A 19,452-nucleotide genomic window follows, 5' to 3' on the forward strand; every position below is an offset into this window, starting at 1 on the left:
TTTATAGTAATAGTTTTGAAGAAAGACTATATGGTAATTACTAGATCAAGAAAGCATTATTGCATTATCTGTGCAGATAGAAGCCTTTAGGCAGATGCCATAGTTTTTTTACTTCATCAGTCTTTTTATATGTACACCTGACTGCCAGAAATAGTTATTAATTCTTCAATGAAGATGGTTTTGCAGACTGAATTTATGTGTATGTATATAGCACGCACACCCAGCCATTTTATTTTTATGTTCAATCTAATTCCTTTAAACAAAAGACTATGAAATACTACTACTTTTCTGTAGGCCATGTGATAAGGTTGTTAGGGCTGGACAGAAAGAAAAAATATATTTATTTGCCATACCCTGAATATATGAAATGAAGACTAGATTTCAAAAATCTTACTTTCAGGCATCACAGTAATTTACAAAAAGGCCAATAAGTTACACAAGCATTTGTAGTAATTTATGTAAAAGATGTGAAGCTGGTAAGGGATGGTTCAAAAACTTACATATCAGAATCTGCTTAATACAAATTTTAGGAAAAGAATCCACTTCTTTACAAGGCAATACTCTGATCACTATTTCCTGAACAGTTATTGAAGGTGTTTCAAGCAAGAGTTACATACTAGTATAGATTTTTAATGCAAATGGCCATATTTGTTTTGAAGGTGATACCTTGTGGGTTTTCTTCAACTCTTTCAAAACTTGAATTTTATATCATTTTGTTTTTCCTCCCATCCCCACATCCTAAGTGCTAAAAGACTCTAAAACTCATCTTGTCACCTGCTGTTTTGTTCAACGGGATTCTCTTCAGAAATATAATCCTAAAGTTTGGGAGGGACTCTTAGAGTAGACACTTAAGCAGAGATGGAACAAAGAATTAATAATCCAAATTATATGAAGCATTTAAAAGTCTGTAGAGTAGAAGCCATTACAGAATCACCTTTAGTACGTGATTAGATACCTTTATTTCTGAATCTGTTTACATTTTATTTTTGGCAGGAGCTGGGTAATTAAAAATATTTGTATGGATTTATTGCTTTCAAATTTGTGGTGAAGACATTTTAGAAGAGAATCTTAGCTCTGCATATACGACCCTAGGCAAGTCACTTAACCTTTCTGGCTCGGTTTCTCATCTGTGAAATTGTGATAAAAATACTCGAACAGGATTACTACTATTGAGTTAGATGTGATATAAAGCACCTGGCAAAGAGTGGGCACTCCATAAAATGTTCTTTCTTTCTTTAGTTATGTTAATAGTAAAATAGAGCTCTGGTGTGCTTTGAAACTTCCTTCTTTCTTGTTTCAACGTACAGTAATAGGTAAGACTTGAGTAATAATCCAGTAATCCTTTCATGTATTCTAGCTTGAACATTTTTTTAAAGGAAATAAAACTATATATAGTTGAAGTTTCTTCGTACTTTCTTCCCAGTCTCATTCCTTTTCCTTCCGGCCCAGAGGCAATAACTATCCTGTATTTTTGGTCCATGATTTCTGCATGTTTTCATACTTTCACGGTGTATGTATGCATTCATAAACAATATGTGGGATCTTTTTTATGTTTTTAAAACTTGAATAAATGGTATTAAATTACATGTTTAATCCTTCAGCTTAACTTTTTTCACTCAGCATTATTTTTGAGAGCTATCTCTTGCTGAAAAATATAGGTCATTCATTTTAATTGCTGTATAATTATCTATTTCCTTATTGGTAGACATAGTGGTTTTATGCAGTTTTTTCAGTATTTTAAACAATGCTAGGTTGGATATCTTCTCATTTTTAATATTCTTCTTAGAACTCAGGTGTGCTTACTGAGTTGCAGCTTAATCCCTGAAATGTGCATTACTGACCTACAAACGTTTGTAATGAACTGATTTATAATCTTAATTACCTAACTCATTCCAGTCTTTTCTAAAGATTGGTCTAATTTAAGGGCTCCTCTTTCTAATCTCTCCTACCCCCATTACTCATACTGAGATGCTAACTTGATAGCCTCATTGTGGGAAAAGTCGTATCAACATTAGGAACAGTTATTGCTTATTTTGGTGATATTAATAGTGATTGATTTTAATTTTCAATATTATGCATTTTAAGTATACCAATTCTGAAGTATACTTTTGCAATAGAATATGTGTGCAAATTCTTAGGACTATTAAAATACTTAGTCCAACCTAATGGAGTAACCTTTTGTATGTAATTTCTTTTTAAATATGTATTTATAGTGAATACATGAGCTAGTTTTATAATTACTATTCTCTGTGTTTTCTAGACTGCTTTTTTATGCAGTGTGGCATTGTACCTAAAATTTTGTATCTGTTTTTAAGTCAAAAATACGTTTTCCAAATAAAATTTTGTATAGAGTCTGAAGACACTGGATACATTTCTGAGTCACTGAGGTATTTCCATATAGTTTGGCACAATGTAAAAATTGTGTGATTTAACTTAATTATGACTGAATCATTGTGAAGTGTCTCCTTTTATTAGCCATATTATTAATCTGAGTGAATCTTATCTAGTTGTTAAGGTTGAGAAAAGAAAGGTGGCTGACACACCCACATCCTATAAGAAAATGTAATACTTAAATTACAATCATTAAGGTGTAACTAATTCTCCCATTTAGTTAGGATGTTGGTGATGTCAAGAATTAATTAAAATACTTTGCAGGGGTGTCCAGGGGAAAGAATACAGTCGTAGGTTCTTGAAGTTTCTGTTTCTGGTTAGGCCAGTAAAGCCCCTTCCTCATCCTCTTTTTCTCTTATCACTAGAGACAGAAACTAAAACCCATGGCTTTAGGCTGTTAAAAGCATAAAACAAAACAGCACAACAGCAGCAGCAAAATAAGGCAGGTTGGACAAGTTTGCTAGAGTCTGTGTGACATTTAAATATCTTCGTTAACCCAGCTGTTTAAGGTATATGCTCATTGCTTTTCAGAAATTTTGAATTTTAAAAATATCTGAAAATGGTTGAGTGCTGAAAGTTAACAGTGCAGGCAGTTATCATTGAGAACACCTGACTTTCACACATTTTAACACCACTAACATTGGCTAGTCCTTTTTATTGTCTAGCAATAGCCCAGAAATACTCCTTTCCTGTTTACCTCCCAGTTTGTAGTTTCTAATCATATCAAGACCTAGTTTTTAATCACTTTTGCTGAAAGGTCTACCCACTCTTAAGGCCAGGGTAGACTCCTTGTTTTATTTTCTTTGTTCTGCTTCTTCTGCCTCTGCTGTTCCAGGAGTCTTCCATTTTCCTATCTGCTGTGAAATGCTTGCTGGTCACTTTTCTACCTTGGTTTTCTTTTATCCTTACCTCCCTTCTATCTGGCTGATTGGTGGGCTTTCCATGTGCCTCTCTGTGCACAGGACACCTCGCCATCACTTTTACAATGCTGTTCCCTCTTAGTCATTTCTTAGTCGTTTCACCACCCTTTAAGTTTCCAGGAATAATCTTTTTCTTTTCCTCTCGTTCTTTGTGACCAGAATTTCCTTATTTTTACATCTCTTTTCTCCTTGGTTTATAAAGATATGTTTGAAAGAGTAGGAAAAGATCAGAGGCCAGAGTGAATACCTGCCAACTACATGAACTTTGAGAGCCAGAGTGGTCAATTCGAAGGCACTCTGGTTTATGTAGTTTTAAAATGTCTAACCATATATCATACTTTTCAGTATTTTTTACTGCAGATATACAGTACCTTATTTAATATTATAGAAGAAATAGTTTAAATAAATTTTGTGGACCAGGATTTAAACCACCTTAGTTCTATGGTCCAAATGTGTTTCAAGTTCCAAAATACCTGATTTCAGAACAAATTTTTGGAACATACTCGTTTATAAAAGTTAGTAACTCTTTTTATAAACCATTACTTACAGAAACATTGACCTCTTATTTTAATATATAAATATTTGCTTGTTCTAAAATTTATTTGTATTTTTTAAATTAATAGCTTTTTCTGGGCAGTTTTAGGTTCATAGCAAAATTGAGTGAAAACCCCTTGTATCTCTGCCCCTGCACAGACACACAACCACCCCTGCTATTATTGTCCCACACTACAGTGGTATAGTTGTTACATTCCAATCGATAAACCTACATTAACACATCATTATCATGCAAAGTCCCTAGTTTTCATATGGGTTCACTCTTGATGTTGTACATTTTATGGATTTTTACACATATATAGTGACATATCCGCCATTCATACCATACAGAAAAGTTCACTCCCTTACAGATCCTCCGTGCTGTGCCTCTTCATCCCTTCCACCCCACTAACCCCTGGCAACCACTGATATTTTTACTGTTTCTGTAGTTTTGCCTCCAGAATGTCATATAGATGGAGTCATACAGTATGTAGCCTTTTCATATTGGGTTCTCCCACTTACTAATATGCATTTAAGTTTCATCCATATCTTTTCATGGCTTGATAGCTCATTTCTTTTTAGCACCGAATAATATTTCGTTGTCTGGAGGTACCACAGTTTATATATCCATTCACCTACTGAAGTAACATCTTGATCACCTTCAAGATTTGGCAGTTATGAATCAAGCTGCTATTCACATCTGCATGCAGAATTTTGTGTGGACATAAGTTTTCAGTTCATTTGAGTAAATACCCAGGAGTGTGATTACTGGATCTTATGGTAAGATATGTTTATGTTTGTAACAAGATTGCCAAACTGTCTTCCAAAGTGGACATCCAGATGCATAAAAATGAATCTAGATATTTTGCATTTCCTGTACCATTTTGTATTCTCCACTAGCAATGGATGAGAGTTCCTGTTACTCCACATTTTCTTCAGCATTTGTTGTTGGTGTTTTGGATTTGGGCCATTCTAATAGGTGTGTAGTGGCATGCTTTTCTTGTTTTAACTTGAAATTCCCTAATGACATGAGTTTGAACAGTTTTTCATACGCTTACTTGCCATCTGTTTATCTTTGGTGTGAGGTATCTGTTCAGGTATTTCACCCATTTTATAATCAGGTTGTTCATTTTCTTTAGTTTTAATGGTTCATCGTATATTTTTGATAACAGTTCTTTATCAGGTACATCTTTTGCAAATATTTTCTCCAAGACTGTTGCCTGCCTTGTTCTCTTGACATTGTCTTGCAGAGCAAAAAAAATCTAGGCTGCAGTTACAGATTTGGAAGTTAAGAGCATATTGGTGGTATTGGGAGCCGTAAAACTGCATAAGATAACCAAAACAGTATATGTAGGTAGAAAAGAGAAGAGTGTAAGGTCTTAGCTCTGGAGGACTGGTGATATTTAAAGCTTAGGGTGATAAGGAATAGGAATAGAGAGTGAGAACGAGGGGCCAGGAAATGTAGGAAAGCTAACAAAGTATGTTATTCTAGGAATGAAAGAGAAAGTGTATCAAGGAGGATGTGATTGGCTGTGTCAAATGTTGCTGGACCAGTCAAATAATATGAAGATTGAGAAATGATCATTGGGTGTAGTGATGAGGTCATTGGTGACTTTGGATAAGAGCTGTTTCAGTGGAGTAATGGGAGGAAATGCCTGTTGGGAATGAGTTCAAGTAACAACAGAGGAGAGAAACTGAAGATAGCAGATGTAGATAAGATTTCCAAGGAGTTTTGCTGTCAAGGAAAGATGATTGAGATGGAAACTCGAAGGGAGAGAGAAATAGAGATTTTAAAAAATAATAATAAAGTTGGGAGAAAGGGCATTGTTGGATTCTTATTGGCATCACTCACCAGAGAAGGAAAAATGGATGATGATTCAAGACAGTGGAAGAGACAGAGAGTGTCGGTCAGTTGCTAGCCTCTAATATGATTTGTTTAAATTACAGTGGACTCAGCCCTGCAACTGCTCATGTCCCTTCCTGACCCCTTCCCATCTTGCCGTATGTTTTGACTAACAGATGGTACATTTATGAGAATGAAAAGAGGCCCCTAATCCAGACAGGTAGCCAACACTACCTGGATTTTAGGACTGGATTTTAGCCTTCACTTGTCCTAAACTAGGTGTCTTTGGGTACAGCAAAGTAATCATACTACCATAGCTTCTCTGCTTAGTCTACTCCAAGACAATAGGAAAAGTTATTTACTATCCTGCAATAGTTAAATGTACACTTTGTCCTATAGTTAAATGTACACTTTGTCCGATGGCAAATAGCATGATAAGTGGGAAGAGAGCACATTTAAGAACTAAGAATTTGGTGTGGGAATCCAAGCTCTTCTATCAACTGGCAGTAAAATATATTTGAGGAGAGTTTAAGGCGTATGAGTCGTCTTACCAACAAGTAATTATGAGTTTAGATTTTATTTGAACTATCTCTCTTGTTTGTATTTTATAAAGTAATGGTGTGTTAAGCGCAGTGCACCAAAATGTAACTAAGACTTAGTAGCACCTAGGACTCAGATCTTGGTTTTTCTTACAACATTCGCACTGAAAGGAACCCTGGCTCTTTGGAAAAATGTTTGATTCCAAGGATGGGATTCCTTATGCCAAAGGAAGGAAATGCTTAAAAAAAAAAAAAAAAAAGATGCTAACATGTTGCAAGGATATAGGAGTCATTTTGAAAGGGTTCCCCATCAGCCAAATCTGCAATAATTTGGGTATCAAAATAATTAAAGTCAGTAATGACTTATAAAGCATTGGGAAAAAATGAGACCATACCAGTAATACTTCTGTACATACGTACAGGCAGGAGAAGAGGCTCAAGGGGTAACTGTTAAGTGTAGAGAAAGTTCTAGAATTGGAAAATCATGATTTTATTGCTGTAACAGAATACCTGAGACTGAGTAGGTTATAAGGAAAAGAGGTTTATTTGGTTCACCTGATGGGCATCTGCATCTGTTGAGGGCCTCAGGCTGCTTCAACTCACAGTGGAAAGGCAGGCATCAAGTGCAAAGAGATCACAAAGCAAGAGGAAGCAAGAGAGAGAAACCAAGGAAAGCCACTCTTTTTAACAATGAGTTCTCTTGGGAACTAATTCATTCTTGCTAGAGTGAGGACTCACCCCTGAGGGAGGGCATTAATTTATTCATGAGGGATCTACCCCTCTGACCCAGACACTTCCCAACATTGCCGCGTTTGGGGGTCAGATTTCAACTTGAGTTTTAGCAGGGACAGATCAAACCATAGCAATCACAAATGGATGCTAAATCTTGGGAAGAAATTTTGATAAGAAGCAGGATATTTGCCTGGTCTTGAAGTGTCTGTCCAAATATTGCTTATTGGTTGCAGGGAAAAGATAGTAACTAAGCAGTAGGAAAATTGGATAGCAGTTTGTCTGGATGATGAAACTTAACATCACCAATGAGGTACAGGTAGGTGCTGTGTGCCTCCAAATGTGATACCATGAGAAGGACACATACTATTTCAGCCAGACACCTACTATTTCAGCCAGAAATGCGTTACATGAATCAAATCATGAGGAAACATGGCAAGCTCAAAATGATGAGCATTTTTTAAAAAAGAAGACTAGATTCTGCAAAAAACGTTAATGTTATAAAAGTTAAAGAAAGGCGGAAAGGACCCATATTAAAGGAGAATAAAGACACAGGAAATAACGTGGTTCCAAGACTGGGTCCTGCATCGGAGAAAAATTAATTTTTTAAAAGGGTATTACCGAATCAGTTGACAACATTATAATACAAATTGTACTTTAAAGAATTGTATTAATGTATTTACTGAAATTGTAACTGTATTGTAATTTATAGGAGATTGTTTTTAGGAAATGCACACTGACATGTTTATGGGGAAAAGGCCGTGTGCAACTTTCAGGTGACTCAGAAAAAAGTATGTCTCTATGCATGCTTGCAGGTTTAGAGGGGTGTGTGTTTCGGGAGAGAGAGGAGCAAATGGGGCAGAGCAGAATGCTAATGGAGACTGGGTAAAGTTATACCAATTTTCTTTGTACTTTTCTTGCATTTCCTCTGTAAGTTTGTAATATTTCCAAGTAAGTTCATACACACATGCACATGCAAACACATTGGGGCTTATTTCTTTTATACTTATTTTACTTCTTATTGCTCTAGATTGCTAATTTACCTTTAACACTTCCCTGGTTTTAGGATATTAACATTCATTGCTAATATATGTACATACTGATTTTTAATTTCTTTTAAATAGTGCTGGGCCTAAAGGAGATAACATTTATGAATGGAGATCAACTATACTTGGTCCACCGGGTTCTGTATATGAAGGTGGTGTGTTTTTTCTGGATATCACATTTTCATCAGATTATCCATTTAAGCCACCAAAGGTAAGAAGCTTGAAGTGCATTCTTTAGTATTTAATCCTTCTCCTCTAAAATCGGTTATTCTAGAACTTAAATGTGTATTGATGCAGTTATTTTGATTTCATTGCTTTTCATGGATTGATATGGAAATTTTCGCATAATCAAGAATTTTAAAACAGTAATTGACTCCTTTCACAAATAATTTGTAATAAACAGAAAGAGTTTAATTCTTAATTGTAAATAAAACTATACCTTGCACATCAATAAAGCAGATAAATTTTATGCTTATGAGGGAGAAGATCCTATGAACCTTCATTAATACCTTAATTAATAATACCTTAATTAACTATTAAGGTATTAATGAAGGTATTAGGATAAAAAGTAAAACTGTTTGACAGCTTCCAGAAATAAGGGTTTAATAATGTGAATTTTGTGCTGAATACCTTTATAGATAAGCAAAAACTTCATAGCCAAGAAGAGGGAAACTAATAATATTTAGTAAACTCATTTTGTACCTTCTGTGGGTATGATGTAGTAGTGGAAGCAGAATGCCTGAGTTTTGTTGGCTCTGAGTTCATTTGAAGTATGAATTAGATGGATAACAGAGAACGGGGTGAGTTGTGCCTTCTAATGACCATCAACTTTGCAAAGCTTAAATATAACAATTACTTGAATGGCTCCCTCCGCTAACTTCTGTTTCTACAATGGTCAAGTCAGCAGGTAAAAACCACTGGAATTAAGCATGAGCATTATTATGCTGTTGTTACAGAGATGTCTGACATAGCAGGGGAAAGTGTATTTTCAAGTCCATAGCCCTTAACTATGGTGAAATGTTTTTCTTTTCCAACATGGTGACTTTTGTTCTCTGTACTTTTAAAAATTTATGTTGCAGTCTATACCATTTAAAATTTATGTAGCCTGTGTGTATATGTATATGTGCACATAAACGGATTTATTTTGTGAATAAAAGAGGGTTATTTCTCAGTAACTTATTGTCTAACAAGGTAACGAGTGCCATCTAGTGGTATTTACCCCAAACCGCAGACACCATTTACTCTCAATTACAGCTGTTAGTGTTTAAAGTGCTTTACCGTGTGGTCCCATCAGCATGTAAGATCTTGAAATTATTTTTGCATATGGGGAAGATTAATTGAAGAAAAAGACTCTTAAGTTTTCCTGGACACCTTTTAATGAAAAACAGAAATTGGCTAATATAAGAATTTCACACTATATAGTACTGTATATGATTTGCCGTAATTTTGATGAATATAATGATTATAAATTTAGCATGTTGGTTTTTTGCTGAAATTGCAATATATCATCTAATTCTTTAGTGTTCACTCTGTTGCTGAGATATACAGTATTAACCATTAAGATCTATAGTTGGACAAATGAAAAATAAGATTTCTGGTATAATCTTGGTATTTGGAACAATTATTTCTCTGCAATGCTAAATCTTTTTGAAGTTTGGAAAAGTTGAGCTTCTTGAAGGATAATAAATATTTAATAGAAATCTGCTCATGAATGCTATTCTGTTCACTAGTTATAGCTGAAAATATATTTGTAAATCACATATGTATTGAGCAGTAACGTCAGTGATCTGAACATAAATTATTTCTATATTCTAGAGCAGCATTAATGGAAATATAGTAAAATCTACATGTATAATTTTAAATTTTCTAATAGCCACATAAAACATAAAACAATTTTAATACTATATTAGTTAACCCAACATATTAAAAATATTGTCATTTCAACATGTAATCCGTGTAAGAGTATTGTTAATGAAATCTTACACATTTTCTTTTTGGTACTAACTCTTTGAAATCTGGTATTTATTTTACACTTCTAGTTCGTCTCAATTCACCTTGCCACAATTTAAGAGCTGTATATGCACATGTAACTAGTATATGCTGTATTGGTCAGAGCAGTTCTAGAGGGGCATACTCTCCTCCTCCCCCACTAAACTAGTGTGTTGGTCCCCTACCCCCTCCCTGTCATGCATTCTTTTCAGGAAGACACTTTTGAGAGCATTTAATGTTTTCCTCCCAGATTCAACTTTTGCGCTCACAGTACACTGCTAGTTTTCAAATGATCAGAAATTTTTTTTTTTCTCGGCAACTCCAATTATGAATTAGCTATCCAATTAGTGTTTGTGATTGTTTTGAGACTTGGCAGTGTTTGTTCTTATGATTTATCTTCTTTTCTCACACATTTCAGGGATATATTAGTTTCCTTTATCCAGTAGCTAAAAACCTTGTTTATTTTATTTTAATATTTTAGCCTAACAAGACAGTGAACCAGCTGTAGAAATAAAAGGCTAAGAAACAGAAAGGCAGGTAGTGTGAATGATTTTACCAACCGTCTTCTAAATCCTCCAGTATTTTCTAACGTTTGGTAAGAAATTAGCTGAATTGATACTGATCTTTTCTAGTAAGAAACTGATGTAACTTTTATGTTTTAAAAAAAAATCTTCATCAGTTCCTCTTACCTTCGGCACCAAAACATTTCTTTTCTTCCTCACTTTCTGTCTTTCTGTATGTATGTGTACACACACAGTTGTATATGCTGTGGATGTGTATGCAAACAGACGTACCCACACACATAGATGGAATTACTGTATCAGTTATTTAAGTATAACTGATCAGTTCCTCACTTTAGTTCTTTCTATACAGGGTAAAAACAAAAAATTTTTTTCAACTGAGTCAAAAGCATTTAATTTTGTTATTAAACCTAATCTAAGTTTAGCTCCAGTCAAATAATTTAGTATCATCTATGATATATTACCCTTCATTTTTTTTTAGTGTTTTAATTGGTAATACAGCATTCATTTTCCTTCTGTTTTTAATGTGACTGTGCTTAGGTTACTTTCCGCACCAGAATCTATCACTGCAACATCAACAGTCAGGGAGTCATCTGTCTGGACATCCTTAAAGACAACTGGAGTCCCGCTTTGACTATTTCAAAGGTTTTGCTGTCTATTTGTTCCCTTTTGACAGACTGCAACCCTGGTAAGCAAATCTTTATTAACATGTACAATAAGACTACAAAAACGAGTGCTTTTTTTTTTTTTTTTTTTTTTTTTTTAGTTAGCTTTAAATGTAGATTGAGAGGTAAATGTTATTCATAGAAAGATCCCCATAAAACAGTTTGTGAGGAAATTACCAATGCCATTTGAAGTAGACTAGGCCAAAAGTTTCTCAATACCTTCATTTAATTTGTTAATGGCATACCACTCTATAATTATTTTGTCACCATCATTAATGGAATCTCTACTTTTAAAAGTATTTAGGTGCACAGACCACTTCTTTTTTTTTTTTTTTTTTTTTTTTGAGACGGAGTCTCGCTCTGTCGCCCAGGCCGGACTGCGGACTGCAGTGGCGCAATCTCGGCTCACTGCAAGCTCCGCTTCCCGGGTTCACGCCATTCTCCTGCCTCAGCCTCCCGAGTAGCTGGGACTACAGGCGCCCGCCACCGCGCCCGGCTAATTTTTTTGTATTTTTAGTAGAGACGGGGTTTCACCTTGTTAGCCAGGATGGTCTCGATCTCTTGACCTCATGATCCACCCGCCTCGGCCTCCCAAAGTGCTGGGATTACAGGCGTGAGCCACCGCGCCCGGCCGACCACTTCTAACAAGAGTAAAGCAATGTGTCTGAAACCAGTGCCTCCTTTTCCTGCTCCTTCCATGCTGCTGTATGCTTTTAGGCAACTACTTTAATAATAGAAGGCTTCTTGTTCTCCCTTCCTTTTTTAATTAATTAGTTATATAAAGTGTAGTAGTAATGGATATTAAAATGATAGCCAATGAGAATTGAACTAGATTATGATTATATAACCTCAGATAAAATCATTTGTGTATAATTCATAACTTTAAAAAATGCCTGCCACATGTGAACTTCAGAAACTTGGGTAGCTGACTTGATAAAGTGATGTTTAGACCTGAAATTTCACACATTTTGTTTCGTTATGTGACCTTTTTTTTTTTTTTAAGTTGACTTACTTCTAAATATTTGATAAGTCACTAAAGACTGTTACTGTTGTTACCTTATGCTCGGCAGAGATACATATGCAATAGATAGTGACAGATGGATATTCATTGTGGTATCCTTTATTAGAGTATTGGAAACAACCTCAATGCCCATTAATAGATGTAACGTTTAAAAAGAATGTGACAACTCTATATGAACTAATAGGGAAATATCTTCAAGATATATTAAGTATAAAAGGCACTGGAAAAAAATACATATACACAACATAATATTCTAAATGCTTGTCAGTGCATGTAAGAACTCTGGGAAGTAATGTTGTAAATGGGTAACAATTGTTTGCCAGGGAAAGAAACTTCTGAGCAGTTGGAGTCAGGAAGGAAGATAGTTTTTTTTTACTGGCTATGGTTTGGTACAATTCAAATATTGTACCATATGTACATATTTTTTTGTTTTTAAACATCAAAATAAAAATTTATATCAGGTTCACTCTCTAGTTCAGAATTCTACTTAAAACAAAATGGCAAGTAAGTTTTCAAGTGTAAATATTGATAGTGATTAGAGTCATATCAGGCACAGAATGAAGGAAGCATTTTATTTGAAATAGCATGGTATTGTAAGACTGGGGTTTTATTTTAAAATTAACCATTTTTGAACTATTCATAAGCAGAAATATAACCACCTAGTATACTTCCATTTTGAATGAAAGGCCAAAATTACAAAATAGTTTTTGTATATTAAAGACATATCTTTTATAAAAGTCAAATCTAACTTTTTATATATAGCTCAAAATTCATTTTTTTTTTTATGAAGGGGACTTTCCTAACTGGAATATTAAAATATACATATGATCATGTTACTTTAAACTTTTTCTTTTGAAAATTTAGCTATTATATATGAAGATACTGCTGAAAAATAAGCATTTCATTTTAATAGAATATTAGAACTATACCTTGAAGAAGATACCACAAAATAGCTTTTAATGTTCTTTCTGCTTTTCCAGCGGATCCTCTGGTTGGAAGCATAGCCACTCAGTATTTGACCAACAGAGCAGAACACGACAGGATAGCCAGACAGTGGACCAAGAGATACGCAACATAATTCACATAATTTGTATGCAGTGTGAAGGAGCAGAAGGCATCTTCTCACTGTGCTGCAAATCTTTATAGCCTTTACAATACGGACTTCTGTGTATATGTTATACTGATTCTACTCTGCTTTTATCCTTTGGAGCCTGGGAGACTCCCCAAAAAGGTAAATGCTATCAAGAGTAGAACTTTGTAGCTGTAGATTAGTTATGTTTAAAACGCCTACTTGCAAGTCTTGCTTCTTTGGGATATCAAAATGTATTTTGTGATGTACTAAGGATACTGGTCCTGAAGTCTACCAAATATTATAGTGCATTTTAGCCTAATTCATTATCTGTATGAAGTTATAAAAGTAGCTGTAGATGGCTAGGAATTATGTCATTTGTATTAAACCCAGATCTATTTCTGAGTATGTGGTTCATGCTGTTGTGAAAAATGTTTTACCTTTTACCTTTGTCAGTTTGTAATGAGAGGATTTCCTTTTACCCTTTGTAGCTCAGAGAGCACCTGATGTATCATCTCAAACACAATAAACATGCTCCTGAAGGCATAGTTTCCTGTCGTAATATTTTAAGTCAGTCTTGTTAGAAAGTGTGTCTGAGATGATTGTTGATGAAGTAAAAATGTGGCTATGAAGATTACTAAAGACTAGCACAAATAAACCCATTCTTAAATTGAAAACATTTAAAATCCTATTAAATGCATAGAGTTTTTTTCCTTTGTTATTGAAAGAATGACCTTAAATAATCAAAAGTGGATTTTGACCCATTGGTCTCAAACACATAAAGTTGTACTTCGGTAATATGATGTTTAAGCCAAAAAGAATATGAAATCCTGGCTCGCTCACTCAGGAATCTGGTAATGTCTTATGGAACATGTTGCTTCCAAATTGATGATTTTTGTTCAGCACTGGGCAATATTGTCAGATGGTAACTGTGATGTGGTAGCTAGTCTGTGATGCACTTTTTACTTCTAATCCTGGTCTTGAATGTTCATGTTGTGTATTACCATTCTTACTATGGCAAGTGGCCAGCAAATACAGCCAGAGGCAGAGATGAACACAGAAATCTTTGTCTGCCTTGAAGGTAGACTAGAACTGTGTTAGTGTACAGATGTGATATTATTTCTCAATTGGTAAAATACCAAATTGTAAGGTTTTTAGAAGGTTAAATTTCTTCTTTCTAGTTGTAATTCTGAAGTGTTAGATTTCTTGAAAGTTAGAATTTCTTTGCAATATTTAGATTTGCTAAACAGAGTATAATTGTGTGTGGTGGTGGTGTTTTGTTTTGTTTTGTTTCCCTGTGACTAAGGTAATCATCTCTGGTCATGTAACCAAGGTTGTGGTATATGGGGCAGGTGTCTTCTCCAGTCCTCAATATGGAAATGAAGTATCATCTTAAAAATGTATAGAGTGAAAATATTAACATAAAAAATGCTTCCGGATAAAGTAAAACGTGTAGTTGTGTGTGTCACTAGAATAGCAGACTCCTGTTTGTCAGTAGAAGTCTTATATCAGAGTAAAATTAAAATTACACTTACATATCTGTTTTTCACTTAAACTCCCCACCCCCAACATTATTACAGAGGAGCACTATACAAAGGTACTATTTTGAAGAATTCAGACTTTACCTCTGTGAAAACCTAACTAATAATTTATAATGGAGTCCAAGTGAATGTGATGCAAGTGGAGACCGTTTAAGTTGTAAGGTTTTTTATCAACCGTAGTTTTTCCTCCACTGCCAAAATTGTACATTCTACACCCTAGAGTAATAAACTTCTCTCTTGGTGCTAGAAAAACTTAAATCATACTGAATGTTGGGATGTTTGGGGATGCTATGATTAGACTTCCTTTAGTTACCATGAGCCTAATTACCACCGCCAAACTATTTTGCTTACTTGTTGGCTGTGTCCATACTGGTGTGGGATAAAGTGGAGGGAATTGGTTACTTAAAATATTTGCAGCTCTTCCACAAACTACCATTGTGGCCTTAAATAAGACACTTTAATTCTTTGAGTTTTAGTTGGTTTATATATGAGACAGAAGAGTTGATTGGATAATTTCCCTCTTCTCTGTTGACCCTCAAGCTCAGTAGTTTTAATCTTGTAAATTTTGTTGTGCTTGTCCTGCTTTTTCTTTTGGGGAACAGGCTACTCTTTGAAGTGGACTAGTAGTATCTTGGTGTTCTAATGAGTAGATCAACCTATGACATGAGAGCCACTGCATGCCAGGGCACTGTTCAGTCACTGATGTGCCTTATCTCATTTGAGACACCTAAAGAGGTTTAGGAGAGCAGACACTGATGAATCTTAGTTGACAGTTGACAGTGTGCATAGACAAGTTTAAATAACTTGCTCTATATTACACAGCCAATACGATACTTCCTCTCCCCCTGCACCTTCATGCTTTCCCGCAGTTTTTGTTTATAACGTCACAACTTTATATTGAACACGCGCGCACACACACACACACACACACACACATACACACACATACACAAGTTATAACTGTTCCCTATAAAAGTAGATATTCATAGATTATAGCTTCTGGAGTTTATAAAGTACAATATTGCATTTTAGCAAATCTTTATTTTAATATTTTATTTTAGTCTCAAATGGAACCTTACAAAATATAACTGCTGTTTGCAATGAATATGAGGTAGGTAGGTTTGTATTCTCCCTTAGATATTTGTCATAGAAATACTTTCAATATCACAGATTTCACTTTATCAGTTTGGAAAATGAGATAATGTTATTTCAAATTTATTTAACCATATATTGCATAATCACATTAGAAAATTTATATTGATAAGTAAAGCAAGCATTTAATAAGGTGGTGTTTTCTGATGCATACTTAAAGAACTTGGAGTCTGCCCCACTAACTTGTCTAAGTGTTCTTACAACAATATAAGAATGTGACTGTATGGTAAGATTTAAGTCAATTTCAGTCCTGTGACTTTAGATAGTAACCTACATTATAGTGATATACGTGCACCACATTAACACAATTTCGTTAACATTTACATTGTAAATTATTTGGACAGAATTATGGCATGATGTGAAACGTCAATTATTTTTCTCAAATGTTTATAAATTGTCTTAAGAGAGTGAGATAATGGTTCTACATAAGCATTATCTACTTATATTCCAGTTAGTGGTCTTTATTTTAGGTAAATACAATATACAAATAAATTCATTTGTTTCATATTTAAATAAATTACTAAATTTTCTCAAGTAATAGCCAAGTAAAAATTACAATTACATTTTAGTAGATATTCATTATTTGAAATGAAACAAAATTTTTCTAACTAGTTTGTCAATTTTTTCTTGTAAAGTTCTTCAGTGATTTAAATGTGTATCTGCAATGTGTAATGGGATGTTTCTACAGAGTAAACTGATAGACCTTTCAAAGTGGCTATAAAATGAATGACTAGGAGTGACATTTATAACTGCATTGCTGATAGTAATAGGTAATGTTAAAGCCTTTGTCTTTGTCAAACAGAATCAATCTTGTTAAATTAGAAATGAGGAGTGATCCTGTAAGGTGTATACCTATCATATCTAAGGCATACACACACAAGCCTCACTTCCTTCTTTTTCTCCCTGACTCTCTTACGAGAGCTCCTAAACTCATAAGCATTTCTCTTAAGGGAATGTCCTTGGAACTCCAGCAGTATCTCTCTTACTTCAGTTTACCACCTGCTGGGCTCTCAGCTTCTGTGGTTCTGGTAATTCATGTAACAGGAAGCCCAAGGTGATTTTTAAATAGCAACATCCAATATATTAATAAGACCATATATTGAAAAGCTAAGTTTTGAAAAAAAAAAAATAAGCAATACATTACCCAGATTCAGGCACAAGTACAGTATAAATAGTCTTTAGTAGTCTTTGTTGTTAATTTAACTATACATGAGAAAGAGTGATTAAACCATGATTAGGCAGCAGAGCGTTGGTACCTAGTCCTGGATATATTTTGAAGTAAACAGAACAATGCATAGCAAAAGGAATTTTTGACAAATGTAGGTATTATCATTGACATGTATTTACAGAAATTTAAGTTCACACGAAATCTTCGTATCTGTAGGGTTACCTTGTTGAAATCTGGTGAAGCTAAAGACAATTACGCAAGTCCTCCAAACACAGGTCACTAAAAGCAACTTTTTTCCCCAAATCCTCCAATCTCTAATCCCTAAAGTTTATCTCAAGTCCAGCTCCTTTGATGGAAACCTTTCTGTTACACTGCTCTCACATACCTGTTGGTCTGTTTCTCTGAGATGCCGTCTTCACAAACACCAGAAATAATAAAAGGGAATCAAGTATATGCATATTTCCAAGTGCCAACAACAAGCCAGGTGCCTTCCTCAACAATGTGTGCCCTAAAGCCAGGAATTCTTTTTCCTTTTTCTTTTTTCTCTTTGGAAGGAGGTAGGGGGAGATGAAAGGTGGTTATGCTATATAACTCCTTAGCTGATCTTCACTTTGAGTTTATCTGCTCTACAAATTTTATGTGTTTGCTAATTACAAGGTTCTTTCTGGCACTGTGATACATACAGAGATGAATACATTTTCACATCCTTAAACAGTTTATCATTTCCCTGTCCAGATAGACTTTTCCCTTTGCTAATGTATATCCATTTTTATTGAATGACAAACTGAACAGATGTTCCTGATGATTTAGCAATGAAAATATTAGTATAATATTTAGTAAGTTTTACTCTCTATATATTAAATATGCTTAATACTATTTGATGCTTTTAAAATAATTATCTTAAACTACACTTAGTACCCTATGTTTCTAGCATGCGTTTTGGCATTTTATTCAGTTTTATTCCATATCCATATTTCTGGATAATGAGCTTTTGGAGGATAATATCTATGCTTTGTGTCTCCTTATTTCAGTATCTAGCCCAATATGTAACATGATGTATGTTTGCTGAGTGAATGATAATTATATCATGGGTGTAAGTCTTCTCCATAAGGTTATCCAGAGACCATGTGAAGCATATCTGTCATGTCTCCTTTAATTCCCCATGTTGATTCAGTGCTTTGTATGTGGTTGGTGCCATATATATTTAAATTGTTAAATTTGAAACTGTTAAATTGAAATATGGGAAATAGCAATGGGTTGTTCATATAACCTACTTAATGACAATGTGTTTAAAATAGAGACTGACTTAATCTTGTAATTTTAAACTTTCCTTAAATTCACCAGAATATTTTCTGTCCTACAAATTTTACATAATTTCTCATTATCATTACTGTCTTCTTAATGGATATTTCTCCTATCCTTTTTTATTGGTAAAAAGAAAACAACTAAATACATGTATCTGCTTGCTGTATTTTAAGGAAATCTAATAGAAGAAATGGAAACTGATGGCCTTTGAGAACATCTTTTAAGATAAATATTTTAGGGAAAGGGAACTAGTATACCATTTGGTAATGTGGAACGGAGTACTCTGGAATGTTGGAAGTCGTTTATTGAAATATTTTTCAAGTCTTTTTGTTTTCTGTATGTGTGTGTGTGTTTTTCACTTCTCGCTTCTGGGAGAAAAGGGAAATGGAGTAGGATGAAGAGTCACAGGGTCATTTTTTTCTGTATTGCCCCATGTTATTTCTTTGCCAGTAGGTTGAATTGAAAGGTAACTGGGTAAGAAGCACCCTAGTTTCAGAAGTATAATTTCAACAACTTCTATTTTGTCTCACACCATGAGTATTTCTTAAGTTAGCTTAGCAAACTCAGATATGTTGGCTGCTCCCACCTTAGTCCAAGAGAAGGAAAAGGTAAATCTGTGAAGGAATGGGTTGCCGAGAGGTGTGTGGTACTAAGTCCTGACAGCTAGGGGCCCAGGTCTGTAAGGAAAGTCAGGGATTCTCTAGTGATTGAGATTGGGGTAGTTAGGTCTTCATATGAGCATTTCAAGTTTTCATCTACAAAGTGATGAAGAAGAGTATTAATTTATGAGATAAAGAGTATGAGGGGATAACACTGTAGGGCTTTCACTGGCACCCCTTACCTGATTCCTTTATCATCGTTTGAAGAGCACTTTTTAGCCCTCTGCTAAACTCTTGCTGTGGTCACAGAACTCTCAAATGGTGAAGATCATTTTAAATATGCATGAGACACCATGTTTTTTCTTCCATGGTTATTTTTTTTTAAGGACATATATAATGTTTTACTTGTGTATGTATATC

The 19,452-nt window shown here is 34.5% G+C and overlaps 1 protein-coding gene across 5 annotated transcripts in view; it reads left to right on the forward strand.

The window, feature by feature from the left end:
- UBE2E3 (ubiquitin conjugating enzyme E2 E3) overlaps positions 1–13,813 on the forward strand; it is an 83,066-nt gene extending 69,253 nt beyond the window's left edge. For all 5 annotated transcript variants that reach the window (NM_182678.3, NM_001278555.2, NM_006357.4 and 2 more), the window contains 3 exons: positions 8,081–8,213; positions 11,053–11,200; positions 13,179–13,813. In NM_182678.3, coding sequence (NP_872619.1) covers positions 8,081–8,213; positions 11,053–11,200; positions 13,179–13,276 — 379 coding nt within the window. In that variant the 3' untranslated portion in view covers positions 13,277–13,813. The remainder of the gene's footprint in view (positions 1–8,080; positions 8,214–11,052; positions 11,201–13,178) is intronic.
- Positions 13,814–19,452: the final 5,639 nt, after the last annotated feature.

This window comes from Homo sapiens, chromosome 2, assembly GCF_000001405.40.
Source record: "Homo sapiens chromosome 2, GRCh38.p14 Primary Assembly".
Lineage (NCBI taxonomy): Eukaryota > Metazoa > Chordata > Mammalia > Primates > Hominidae > Homo > Homo sapiens.